General features: G+C 45.1%; 1 protein-coding gene across 4 annotated transcripts in view; it reads left to right on the top strand.

The window, feature by feature from the left end:
* CUL2 (cullin 2) overlaps window positions 1–13,704 on the top strand; it is a 118,456-nt gene that overhangs the window by 11,270 nt on the left and 93,482 nt on the right. The gene's annotated exons all lie outside the window — the stretch shown is intronic.

Genomic DNA, 13,704 nt, shown 5'->3' with positions numbered 1-13,704 from the left:
TTTTTGTAGTGATGGGGGTGTCACTATGTTGCCCAGGCAGGTCTCAAACTCGTGGGCTCAAGTGATCCTCATGCCTTGGCCTCCCAAAGTGCTGAGTTTACAGGTGTGAGCCACCACACCCAGCCAGAACCAACATTTAGATTAATTAATTTATCTCCCTTGTTAATATTTTCTTTTGAGATGGAGTATTGCTCTGTCACCCAGGCTAGAGTGTAGTGGCGCGATCTCAGCTCACTGCAACCTCTGCCTCCCAGGTTCAAGCGATTTTCCTGCCTCAGCCTCCCGAGTAGCTGGGATTACAGGCGCCTGCCAGCATGCCTGGCTAAATTTTTGTGTTTTAGTAGAGACGGGGTTTCATTATGTTTGCCAGGCTGGTCTTGAATTCCTAACCTCGCTATCCGCCCGCCTCCGCCTCCCAAAGTGCTGGGATTACAGGTGTGAGCCACTGCACCTGGCCTTGTTTTCTCTTTGTGCTCCATTTTATTTTTATTTTATTTTTTAGACAGAATCTTGCTGTGTTGCCCAGGCTGGCATGCAGTAGCATGACCTCGGCTCACTGCAACCTCTGCTTCCTGGGTTCAAGAGAATCTCCTGCCTCCTGGGTTCAAGTGATTCTCCTGCCTCAGCCTCCCGAGTAGTTGGGATTAAAGGCGCACATCATCACATCCAGCTAATTTTTGTATTTTTAGTAGAGATGGGGTTTTGCCATATCGGCCAGGCTGGTCTCGAACTTCTGACCTCAGGTGATCTGCCCACCTCGGCCTCCCAAAGTGCTGGGATTACAGGCTTGAGCCACTGCACCCAGCTTCTTTGTGCTCCATTTTAGATAGTTTCTATATTGGTGTCGTCAAATTCATTGATGTTTTCTTCTGCAGCATCTGATCTTTAAATTCCATCCAATGTATTTTTTATTTCAGACCTTGCATTTTCATTTCTGGAAGTTCTATTTGGGACTTTAAAAATATTTTCTCTCTCCTCACCATGCTCATGTTTTCCTCTACTTTTGTGAACATATAGTGTATATTTATAAAATCTATTTTTAAAAACTTGTCTGCGGGCCAGGCGCGGTGGCTCATGCCTGTAATCCCAGCACTTTGGGAGGCCGAGGCGGACAGATCATGAAGTCAGGAGTTCGAGACCAGCCTGGCCAACATAGCGAAACCCTGTCTCTACTAAAAATACAAAAATTAGCCAGGTGTGGTGGCGGGCGCCTGTAATCCCAGCTACTCGGGAGGCTGAGGCAGGAGAATCGCTGGAACCTGGGAGGCAGAAGTTGCAGTAAGCTAAGATTGTGCCATAGCACTCCAGCCTGGGTGACAAGAGCAAGACTGTCTCAAAAAAACAAAAAACAACAACAAAAACACTTGAATGCAGCTGGGGGCGGTGCCTCACACCTGTAATCCCAGCACTTGAGGAGGCCGAGGTAGGGAGAATCACTTGAGGTCGGGAGTTCCAGACTATCCTGGCCAACATGGGGAAACACTGTCTCTACTAAAAGAAAAAGAAAAAATACGGGGCCAGGTGCGGTGGCTCACACTTGTAATCCCAGCACTTTGGGAGGCCGAGGCAGGCGGATCACGAGGTCAGGAGATCGAGACCATCCTGGCTAACACAGTGAAACCCCGTCTCAACTAAAGATACCAAAAAAAAAAAACCCAAAAATTAGCCAGGTGTGGTGGCGGGCACCTGTAGTCCCAGCTACTCGGGAGGCTGAGGCAGGAGAATGGCGTGAATCCAGGAGATGGAGCTTGCAGTGAGCTGAGATCATGCCACTGCACTCCAGCCTGAGCGACAGAGTGAGACTCTGTCTCAAAAAATAAATAAATATAATAATAATAATTTAAAAAATAACAAAAAATACAAAAATTAGCTGGGTGTGGTGGGCGCCTGTAATCCCAGCTTCTCAGGGGCCTGATGCAGGAGAATCACTTGAACCTGGGAGGGAGAGGTTGCAGCAAGCTGAGATCGTGCCACTGCATTCCAGCCTGGGTGACAGAGCGAAACTCCGTCTCAAAAAAATAAAAAAGAAAAACTTGTCTGCTAGATTCATCATATCTATTATTTCTGAGTTTGTTCCTATTGATTGATTTTTCTATTTTTCTCCTGATTATGAATTATATTTTGTTGTTTCTTTGCATTCTTGGTAATTTTTCGTAGATGCCAGATGTTGTGAATTTCACATTGCTAGTTACTGGATCTTGCGGAATTTTTTTTTTTTTTTTTTTTTTTTTTTTTTTTGAGGCAGAGTCTTGCTCTTGTCACCCAGGCTGGAGTGCAGTAGCGTGATATCGGCTCACTGCAACCTCCACCTCCCAGGTTCAAGCAATTCTACTGCCCCAGCCTCCCGAGTAGCTGGGATTACAGGCACATACCACTACGCCTGGCTAGTTTTTTTGTATTTTTAGTAGAGACAGGATTTCACCATGTTGGCCAGGCTGGTCACGAACTCCTGACTTCAGGTGATCCACCCACCTCGGGCTCCCAAAATGCTGGGATTACAGAAGTGAGCCACCGCACCTGGCCGCTGAATTCTTTTTTTTTTTTTTTTTTTTTTTGAGATGGAGTCTTGCTCTGTCTCCAGGCTTGAGTGCAGTGGCTCGGTCTCAGCTCACTGCTATCTCCACCTCCCGGATTCAAGCCATTCTCCTGCCTCAACCTCCAGAGTAGCTGAGATTACACATGCCGGCCAGCCAATTTTTGTATTTTTAGTAGAGACTGGGTTTCATCATGTTGGCCAGGATGGTCTCCATCTCCTGACCTTGTGATCTGCCTGCCTTGGCCTCCCAAAGTACTGGGATTACAGACGTGAGCCACCACGCCTGGCCTGAATTCTTTTATGTAGTGTGCAGTTAAGTACTTGAAATCAGTTAGATCCTTTTAAAATTTTATTTTAAGATTATTGGTGTAAGTAAAGAACGGCCTTTAATCTTGATCTATTTTGATTTCACAACTCAGGCAACAACCTTTTGAAGATTCTGCCTCATGCCCTGTATAATACTGTGACTTTTGAGAACATGAATAATTTATTTCCAGCCCTGTGTGAGGTCTAGGATTTTTTTCTGTCTACTCCTTTCCAGAGATTATTTCTCTGGCCCCAGTCATGTTCTTCTCGTGCATGCACAGCCCAAAACTCAGCCATAGACTTGAGGAAACTCATTTTCCAAGTCTCTAGACCTCTCTCTATAGAGCTCTGTCTTCTCTTGCAGTCTGTCCTGAAAATTCTAGTGGCCTCTGTGAACTCTGGTATCTATCTCCTCAACTTAGCCAGAGAGCCATGCTCTGTCTGGGTTCCCTTTACCTGCACTGGAGCCTGAAAACTCCCTCCAGACAGTAAGCTGGCTCAATTGTAGGAGTCACCTCTGTTTTCCCTTTGCTCGGGGATCACAGTCCTGCACTGCCCATTATCTACCATCTGAAAACCATTGTTTTATGTACTCTGTCTGGTTTTCTAGTTGTTTTAGGCAGAAGGATAAATCCAGTTCTGGTCTTTCCATCTTCGCTGAAAGCAGAGTTCCAGCAGACGAGAGTTCAACAAATTTTTGTAAGACTAAAAGAATGATAGTTAATAGTAGACATAGGGTGCAGAAGGGAAGACCAGTGAGAAGCAATTTGATTTACTTTGAAGAACCTCTAAGAGTCCTGGTAAAAGTAGGTACCAGAAAATAGGAGCTGAAATAGGATTTGGTTGTGAGTTTATACAAGGAGTAATGAGGCCTTCAGGTTCTTCTCTACACATAGACCCTTGTACAGTTGAGCAGTGACTCCTCTTCTACCACACTCCCAATCTCTGGACAGTAGGCTATGAGTTTGTGCTGTGTAGGAATTGAATCAGAGACCATGAAAAGTTTTTTGGAAATTAATAGCAATATATCAGGCTGGAGTGCAATGATGCGATCTCAGCTCACTGCAACCTCTGCCTCCCAGAGTCAAGTGATTCTCCTGCCTCAGCCTCCCTGGTAGCTGGGATTGCAGGCACATGCCACACCACGCCCAGCTAATTTTTTCACTTTTAGTAGAGACCAGTTTTCACCATGTTGGCCAGGCTGGTCTGGAACTCCTGACCTCAAGTGATCCACCCGTCTCGGCATCCCAAAGTGTTGGTATTACAGGCGTGAGCCACCACGCCTGGCCTGAATGTCTAATATGTTTTAGACATAATATGTTCAAATTAGAATTATTGGCTGGGTGCAATGGCTTACACCTGTAATCCCAGCATTTTGGGAGACCAAGGCAGAGGATGGCTTGAGGCCAGGAGTTTGAGACCAGCCTGGGCAACATAGTGAGACTCCATCTCTATAAAAAGAATGAATAGAAAATCTTAGTTAGGCGTGGTGGTGCACACCTGTAGTTCCAACTACTTGGGAAGCTAGGACAGGAGAAGTACTTGAGGCCAGGAGTTTGAGGCTGCAGTGAGCCACAATTGTACCACTGCACTCCAGTTGGGCAACAGAACCAGAACCCGAATCAAAAAAAAAAAAAATCTTCTCATAAGAGAAGAGTGATTCTTAAAGAATCATTTAATCTCATAATTCTTGTTCTCCCTGTAAACTTGCTTCTCCATTTTCTCTGTTTCAGCAAATGGCAACCAAGTTGCTCAGGCCAAAAACTGATGATAATCCCTGAGTCATTTATTTTTAGCACTTAGAAGCAGCAAACCCATGCATGCTACTTTTAAAATAATTATCTAATCCAACAACTCCTAATCTAAAAATCCTAATCCAAGCCACTGGCATCTCTTGCTGAGATACTGCAGTAGTATCCTAACTGATCTTGCTACTTCCATTCTTGACTTCTGTTATGGGCTGTTATGTGTCTCTCCCAAATTCACTTCTCTAAGTCTCAACCTCTAGTACCTCAGAATGTAACCATATCCGGAGATTAGGTCATTAAAGATATGATTAAGTTAAAATGAGGCCATCGGGATAGGACCTTAATCCCATATGACTGGTGTAATTATAAGAGGGGGATACGAGGGATGCATGCACACAGAGACAAATGTGTGAAGAGGCAGCAACCAAGAGGGTGGCAATCTGCAAGCCAAGGAGAGAGGCCTGCAACAGACTCCTCCCTTAGGCCCTCAGAGGAAACCAACCCTACCAGCATCTTGATCTTGGACTCCCAGCCTCCAGAACTGTGACAAAATTAATTTCTGTTTATTTTATTTTATTTTTTTAGACAAGGTCTCACTCTGTCACCCAGGCTGGAGTGCAGTGGTGTGATCTTAGCTCACTGCAACCTCCACCTCCCAGGTACAATCAATTCTCCCATCTCAGACTCCAGAGTATCTGGGACTATAGGCGTGCACCACCACACCCAGCTAATTTTTGTATTTTTTTGGTAGAGACAGGTTTCACCATGTTGGCCAGGCTGGTCTCGAATTCCTGACCTCAAGTGATTCACCTGCCTTGGCCTCCCGAAATGCTGGGATTATAGGCATGAGCCACTGTGCCTGGATAAATTTCTATTCTTTAATCCACCCAGTCTGTGGCATTTTGTTATAGCAGCCCTAGCCAACAATTATACCTCCTTGTTCCTATAGCAGTATGGCTATTTCATTTGTTGTTTTGTTTTGTTTCTGAGACAGAATCTTGCTGTGTTGCAATGGCACAATCAGGCTCACTGCAGCCTTGACCTCCCAGGCTCAAGTGATCCTCCTAACTCAGCCTCCCGAGTAGCTGAGACCACAGGTGTGCAACACCACACCCAGCTAATTTTTCAATTATTGTCTGGAGATAGGGTCTCACTATGTTGCCCAGGCTGCTCTTGAACTCCTGGCCTGAAGCAATCCTCCTGCCTCAGCCTTCCAAAGTTCTGAGATTACAGGTGTGAGCCACCATGCCTGGCCCACTATGGATATTTTAATTATGGCAAACCAGATTGTATCATTATTCATGCTTAAAAACCTCCAGTGACTTCCATGTGGTTGAAATAAAATCGAGCTTCTCTATCAAAGTTGATAAAGTCCTACAAGATTTGGCTTTGGTCTTCCTTTTCATTATGCACTGATCACACTGGCTTTCATTTTATTTCACAAACACACCTAACTCATCCATCCTTCAGGCTTTTTCACTTGCTGCTCCCACTGTTTGGAAATCTTGTTCTGCAAATGTTTGTGGGGCTGGCCTCTCCTTGCCGTGTAAACGCAAATGTCACCTCAGAAAATCCTTGCCTAATGGCCTTAGCTAATGTAGTATCCCCCATCACTTTATTCAATTATACTGTTTTTCTTTACAGTATTAATTACTAGACAAAATTATCTTTGTCATTCATTTACCTGATTTTTATCTGTCTCTGCTCACTGGAATGTAAGTTTATTGAGAAAAGGACCCTACAAATATTGTGCCCAGCACCTAGAACATTGCATGGCACATAATATATATGAAATAATGATGTAATCAATCAAGGAATGAAAGATTGATGGATGCATAAATGTATAATTCTGCCTGGTTGAAATGACGGTCAGGTTTTTTGTTGTGTTTTGTTTTGTTTTTGAGACAGGGTCTCACTCTGTCTCCCAGGCTAAACATTTTTTAAATGTTTCTTAAAAACCTAACCATTTCTGCTAGGTGCGAACATGGCTCACTGGAGCCTCAACCTCCAGGCTCAAGCAATCCTCTTACCTCAGCCTCCCAAGTAGCTGGAACTATAGGTGTGCACCACCACACCTGGCTAACTTTTGTATTTTTTGTAGAGATAGAGTTTTGCCATCCTGCCCAGGCTGCTCTCCAACTCCTGAGCGCAGGTGGTCCACCCACTTCGGCCTCCCAAAGTGCTGGGATTACAGGCATGATCCACTGTCCCTAGCAGAAATGGCTAGGTTTTTAAAAAACATTAATTCAGCAAACATCAGATTTCTGTATGACAGCTAACAATTTATGAGGAGATCCAGGAAGTCCCATGGAGAGGTCCACAGGGACTGCATGGAACTGAGGTCTCCTGCCAACAGTAATGTAAGTGGGTTTGGTAGCAGGATCCCCCAACCACAGTCAAGCCTTCAGATGGCTGTAGCCCAGGCCAATACTTTGACTGAAATCTCATGAGAAACCCTGAAAAAGAACTATTCAGCTAAGCCACTCCCAAATCTGACCCAAAGAATCCATGCACAGCTAATACATTCCCAAATCTGGAAACAGGTATTATCTTTGATAACTTCCTCCTACCTCAATTCCAATATCAAAGACATTTAAATATCTCCCAAATTTTTCATTTCTCCCTGTCTTTCCCACAACTATTCTAGTCCAAATAACTGTGTTTTTTTTCTTTTTTTCCTTTTTTTTTTTTTGAGTCAGGGTCTAACTGTCGCCCAGGCTAGAGTATAGTGGTGTGATCTTGGCTCACTGCAGCCTCAACCTCCTGGGCTCAGGTGATCCTCCCACCTTAGCCTCCCAAGTAGCTGGGACTACAGGCACACACCACAACACCCCACTAATTTTTTCTATTTTTTTGAAGAGACAGGATCTCATCATGTCACCCAGGCTGGTCTGGAGCTCCTGGGCTCAAGCAATCCTCCCACCTTAGCCCAGAGTGCTGGGATTACAGGCATGAGCCACTGTGCCTGGCCCAAACTACTGTCACTTCTCACTTAGGCAGGTGCAATAGCCTCTTAACTGATCAGCCTGCATCCATTCTGGCCTCTTGTTAATCCATTTTCCATTCACAAAAGGCGAAGATGTTATTTTTCCAACATGAAAACCTCACAAACTCTTCCCTTGCCTAAATAATTGCAATGAATTCAGATAAGTGCCACATTAGCAATAATCCCAGAGAGTACAAGTACACAGAAAAGGAGCAATTAACTTAGGAAGAGTAGGAACCAGGTCTTCTACTTTTTTTTTTTTTTTTTTTTTTTTTTTTTGAGATGGAGTCTCGCTCTGTTGCCCAGGCTGGAGTGCAGTGGCGCGATCTAGGCTCACTGCAAGCTCCTCCTCCCAGGTTCATGCCAGTCTCCTGCCTCAGCCTCCCGAGTTGCTGGGACCACAAGCGCCTGCCACCACGCCTGGCTAATTTTTTGTATTTTTAGTAGAGGCAGGGTTTCACCATGTTAGCCAGGATGGTCTCCATCTCCTGACCTCGTGATTCACCCGCCTCGGCCTCCCTAAGTGCTGGGATTACAGGCATGAGCCACCGCGCCAGGCCCAAGTCTTCTACTTTTTAAAATTAATAAATGTTAAATTGATGATACATAAACATGGCACAAAATTCACATGACATTAAAGATACAACAACATTAAAGGACACATTTCTGTGTCCCTACTTCTCTAGTTCTCCCCAGAGGCAACACTTAGGCATTTATCTTTTTGGAGGTATTTTATGTATATTTGTTTATTGACAATTATGAAAAACACTTGAAGTAATAAACTGCCCTTTTCTCTAAAATCTTGACCTTCAGCCTACTTTCAAAACCACCACCTATAATTCTTTTTCAGATCATAATCACTCTGCTTTCAAAACCAGGTTAAGGGCAGCTGGGCGCGGTGGCTCATGCCTGTAATCCCAGCACTTTGGGAGGCCAAGGTGGGTGGATCACGAGGTCAGGAGATCAAGACCATCCTGGCTAACACAGTGAAACCCCGTCTCTACTGAAAATACAAAAAATTAGCCGGGCACGGTGGTGGGCGCATGTAGTCCCAGCTACTCGGGAGGCTGAGGCAGGAGAATGGTGTGAACCCGGGAGGTGGAGCTTGCAGTGAGCTGAGATCATGCCACTGCACTCTACTCTGGGTGACAGAGTGAAACTCTGCCTCAAAACAAAAAAACAAACAAACAAAAAAACAACAAAAAAAAACAGGTTAAGGGCAATGCAGACATAATTTATCCTTTTTCCTTATTGCTAACAGGAGTTATAATGATAACATCAGACACACTGGCATAAAGTAAACTGCCCTTTTCTTTAAAATCTTAGCCTTCAGCCTACTTTCAAAGTCATCACCTGTAATCCTTTTTCAGATCATAACCACTCTGCTTTCAAAACCAGGTAAGGGCAATGCAGACATAATTTATCCTTTTTCTAACAGGAGTTATAATAACATCAGAAACACTATCTTTCCACTTGGGCTGCCATAACAAAATGCCATAGACTGGGTGGCTTATAAACAACAAACATTTGGCCCGGTGTGGTGGCTCACACCTGTAATCCCAGCACTTTGGGAGGCCGAGGTGGGCGGATCATGAGGTCAGGAGATTGAGACCATCCTGGCTAACACGGTGAAACCTCATCTCTAAAAAAAAGAAAAAAAAAGAAAAAAAAAAATTAGCCGGGCGTGGTGGCCGGCGCCTCTAGTCACAGCTACTCGGGACGCTGAGGCAGGAGAATGGCGTGAACCTGAGAGGCGGAGCTTGCAGTGACCGGAGATCGCGCCACTGCACTCCAGCCTGGGCTACAGAGTGAGACTCCTTCTCAAACAAACAAAAAAAAACCCACAAAAAAAAAAACAAAAAACACATTTATTTTTTATAGGAGGCTAAGTCCAAGATCAAGGTGTGTCTGGTGAAGGCCCCTCTGTGGATCACAGATGGTCGTCCTCTTGCTATGTCCTCACATGACTGAAGAAGTGAGGGAGCTCTCTGGGAACTCTTTTGTAAAGGCACTAATCCCATTCAGAAGACCTCCACCCTGATGACGTAACACCTCCCAAAGCCCTGTACTACAAAAACCATCATATTGGGGATTAGGTTTCAACATACGAATTTTGGGGGAACGCATTTTTTCTATAGCACCTACACATTTTTGTTTAATCTCCAACCCTCTAAATTTTTATCTGTTACTTCAGTGATTGTTGGAAATATATGCTGTTCTCATCCTTCCTAGCTATCTATGTGTAAAGTACATTGTCATCATACCAATATGTCATTTGCTGTGTGTTTTTCTCCTAAAGTTTATCGATGTTTGTTGACTTTTTTTTTTTTTTTTCAGGACATTGCCTCTTTCAGGAGCCAGGTTCATGGCTTTTAGTAAAGCTTCTGTTGAACATTAATTATATTCCCTTTATTGTATGTAATTAGTTTTGGGTTTTTTTCTTTTTTTTTTTTGAGACAGAGTCTCGCTCTGTCGCCCAGGCTGGAGTGCAATGGCGTGATCTCGGCTCACTGCAACCTCTGCCTCCCGGGGTCAAGTGATTCTCCTGCCTTAGCCTCCTGAGGAGCTGGGACTACAGGCGCCCGCCACCACACCCGGCAAATTTTTTTGTATTTTTTTAGTAGAGACGGGTTTCCACTGTGTTAGCCAGGATGGTCTCCCTCCCAAAGTGCGGGATTACTGGCGTGAGCCACCGCACCCGGCCCAATTACTTAGTTTTTTGTTTTTTGTTTTTTGAAACGGTGTCTCTCCCTGTCGCCCAGGCTGGAGTGCAGTGGCGCCATCTCGGCTCACTGCAAGCTCCGCCTCCCGGGTTCACGCCATTCTCCTGCCTCAGCCTCCAGAGTAGCTGGGACTACAGGCGCCGGCCACCACGCCCGGCTAATTTTTTTCTATTTTTGGTAGAGACGGGGTTTCACGGTGTTAACCAGGATGGTCTCGATTTCCTGACCTCGTGATCCGCCCGCCTCGGCCTCCCAAAGTGCTGGGATTACAGGCATGAGCCACCGCGCCCAGCCAATTACTTAGTTTTTTAAAACCTAAATCCAAGCCATCACATTCAATCCCTATTGAATGTCGTGTTGTTTGTTTCAACACATTTCTCAAGCCTGAATATATCTTTAAGAGTCTTTGGGCTGGGCACGGTGGCTCACGCCTGTAATCCCAGCACATTGGGAGGCCCAGGCGGGTGGATCATCTGAGGTCGGGAATTCGAGACCAGCCTGACCAACATGGAGAAACTCCGTTTCTACTTAAGATACAAAATTAGCTGGGTGTGGTGGCAGGTGCCTGTAATCCCAGCTACTCAGGAGGCTGAGGCAAAAGAATCGCTTGAACCCAGGAGGCGGAGGTTGTAGTGAGCTGAGATTGTGACATTGCACTGCAGCCTGGGCAACAAGAGCAAGACTGTCCCCCCCCCAGAAAAGTCTTTGATTCTTCGTTTAGTAGGACTGTTCATGTTAAAAAAATATATATTGGATTCCATGGTTACTTATACATTTAATTAATTTGCCATTAATTTATTGAGTGCCTGTATTTGCACATTACTATGGTTTCCTAAAATTTACCCTATGCTTAACACAACTAAAAATTGGAAAAGAAGCCCAGCAATTCCACCTCCTTCCCTACACCAAGGTTCTAGGCAATCAAAATAAATAGAGGGGAGGAGAGAAAAGGGAAGGAGACCAGGAAGTCAAGGGGTTAACCTTAATGGGAAGAGTAATGTCTGGGGCCATCTTCCCAGGCTACAGTGCAATGGCGAGATCTTGGTTCACTGCAGCCTTGAACTCCTGGGCTCAAGCCATCCTCCCACCTCAGCCTCCAGAGTAACTAAGACTACAAATGCACTACACCATGTCTAGCTAATTTTTGTATTTTTCTAAAGACAGGGTTTCTCCATGTCACCCAGGCTGGTCTCCAACTCCTGAGCTCAAGCAATCCACCTTCCTCGGCATCCGTAAGTGCTGGGATTACAGGTGTGAGCCACTACGCCCAGCCTCTGGTGTCATCTTATGGACCCTGCATGTATGTGTGAAATCGTGTGTGTGCGCACATGTGTATGCTTATCTCAATAACAGTGTTTTTGTACAGCTAATGGACTATGTTTAACGTTTTCCAGATGTTGGAGACAGAAATGAGTTATCACAAAGCTAAAGAAGCTTAAATTTCATTTCCCAAGGCCCTATGCCAGGCACTAGCGTTTTTTATTTGCATTTTTACATTCTTTTTTTTTTTTAAGTGGATCCCCTCAATTCCAAGATCTATCCCTTGGAGAGGTTACATTTTATTGTAAACCTTTAGATTATATCTAGAGGAGAAAGAATAAATGAGAGGCAGAGTATGAAAGCAATATTAGTTCATACTGACTGGGGAAAATCCTGCATCGGTGAAAACATTTTGAGCAGCCAGGTATGGTGGCCCATGCCTATAATCCCAGCACTTTAGGAGGCTGAGGTGGGCAGATCACTTGAGGTCAGGTGTTCGAGACCAGCCTGGGCTACATACTTAAACCTCGTCTCTATTAAAAATACAAAAAATTAGGCCGGGCGCGGTGGCTCACGCCTGTAATCCCAGCACTTTGGGAGGCCGAGACGGGCGGATCACGAGGTCAGGAGATCGAGACCATCCTGGCTGACACGGTGAAACCCCGTCTCTACTAAAAATACAAAAATTAGCCAGGCATGGTGGCGCGCGCCTGTAGTCCCAGCTACTCGGGAGGCTGAGGCAGGAGAATGGCGTGAACCCGGGAGGCGGAGCTTGCAGTGAGTCGAGATCGTGCCACTGCGCTCCAGCCTGGGCGACAGAGCGAAACTCCGTCTCAAAAAAAAATAAAAAAAAAAAAAAAAAAAAAAAATTAGCTTGGCCTGGTGGCGGGCGCCTGTGTCCCAGCTACTCAGGAGGCTGAAGTGGGAGGATCCCTTGAGCCCAGGAGTTTGAAGCTCCAGTGAGTTGTGATCACACCACTGCAGTGCAGCCTGGGCAACAGAGCAAGACTCTGTCTCAAAAACAAAAAAAAATTTTTTTGAGTCAAGTAGATTTGGGATGGAGTTACCTTGAAAGTGCATAGGTTTCTGGATTAGACAATTTACAAATATCTAACAGATTGGACACAATGAAAACATTAAATTAGAGAGCTCTTCATACTAATGTTATAACTAGCCCTTCCCCATAATAGACAGGCAGCATTGTTCAACTTCGATTTTAATAATTGGAGTATTGTGGCTGGAACTAACATTGTCACCTAGGTTGTTTCTTCTTAAAATTTTTTTTTTTTTTTTCTGAGACAGAGTCTCACTCTATTGCCCAGGCTGGAGTGCAGTGGTGTGATCTCAGCTCATTGCAACTTCCGCCCCCCAGGTTCAAGCGATTCTCCTGCCTCAGCCTCCCGAGTAGCCGGGATTACAGGCGCCTGCCACTGCACCCGGCTAATTTTTGCATTTTTAGTAGAGACAAGGTTTCACCACCTTGGCCAGGCTGGTCTTGAACTCCTGACCTCATGATCCACCCGCCTCGGTCTCTCAAAGTGCTGGGATTACAGGTATGAGCCACGGTGCCAGGCCTTTAAATTTATTTATTTTTTATTATTTTTTTGAGACAGAGTCTAGCTCTGTTGCTCAGGCTGGAGTGCAGTGGAACAGTCTCAGCTCACTGTAACCTCTGCCTCCCAGGTTCCAGTGATTCTCATGCCTCAGCCTCCCAAGTAGCTGGAATTACAGGCATGTGCTACCATGCCTGGCTAATTTTTGTATTTCTAGTGGAGACAGGATTTCACTATGTTGGCCAGGCTGGTCTTGAACTCCTGGCCTCAAGTTATCCACCTGCCTTGGCTTCCCGAAGTGTTGGGATTGCAGGTGTGAGTCACAGCACCCAGCCTGTTTCTTATTTTATTTTGTTTTTATTTTTATTAATGTTATTATTATTGTTTTTTGAGATGGAGTCTCGCTCTGTCACCCAGGCTGGAGTGGCACAATCTCAGCTCACTGTAACCTCTGCCTCCCGGGTTCAAGCGATTCTCCTGCCTCAGCCTTTCAAGTAGCTGGGATTACAGGCATGTGCCACCACGCTTGGCTAATTTTTGTATTTTTGGTAGAGATGGGGTTTCACCTTATTGGCCAGGCTGGTCTCGAACT

Source organism: Homo sapiens, chromosome 10 (assembly GCF_000001405.40).
Source record: "Homo sapiens chromosome 10, GRCh38.p14 Primary Assembly".
In the NCBI taxonomy this organism is placed as follows: Eukaryota; Metazoa; Chordata; class Mammalia; order Primates; family Hominidae; genus Homo; species Homo sapiens.
Note: the sequence above shows the minus strand (reverse complement) of the source record. Positions and strands in the feature narration are given on the sequence as shown.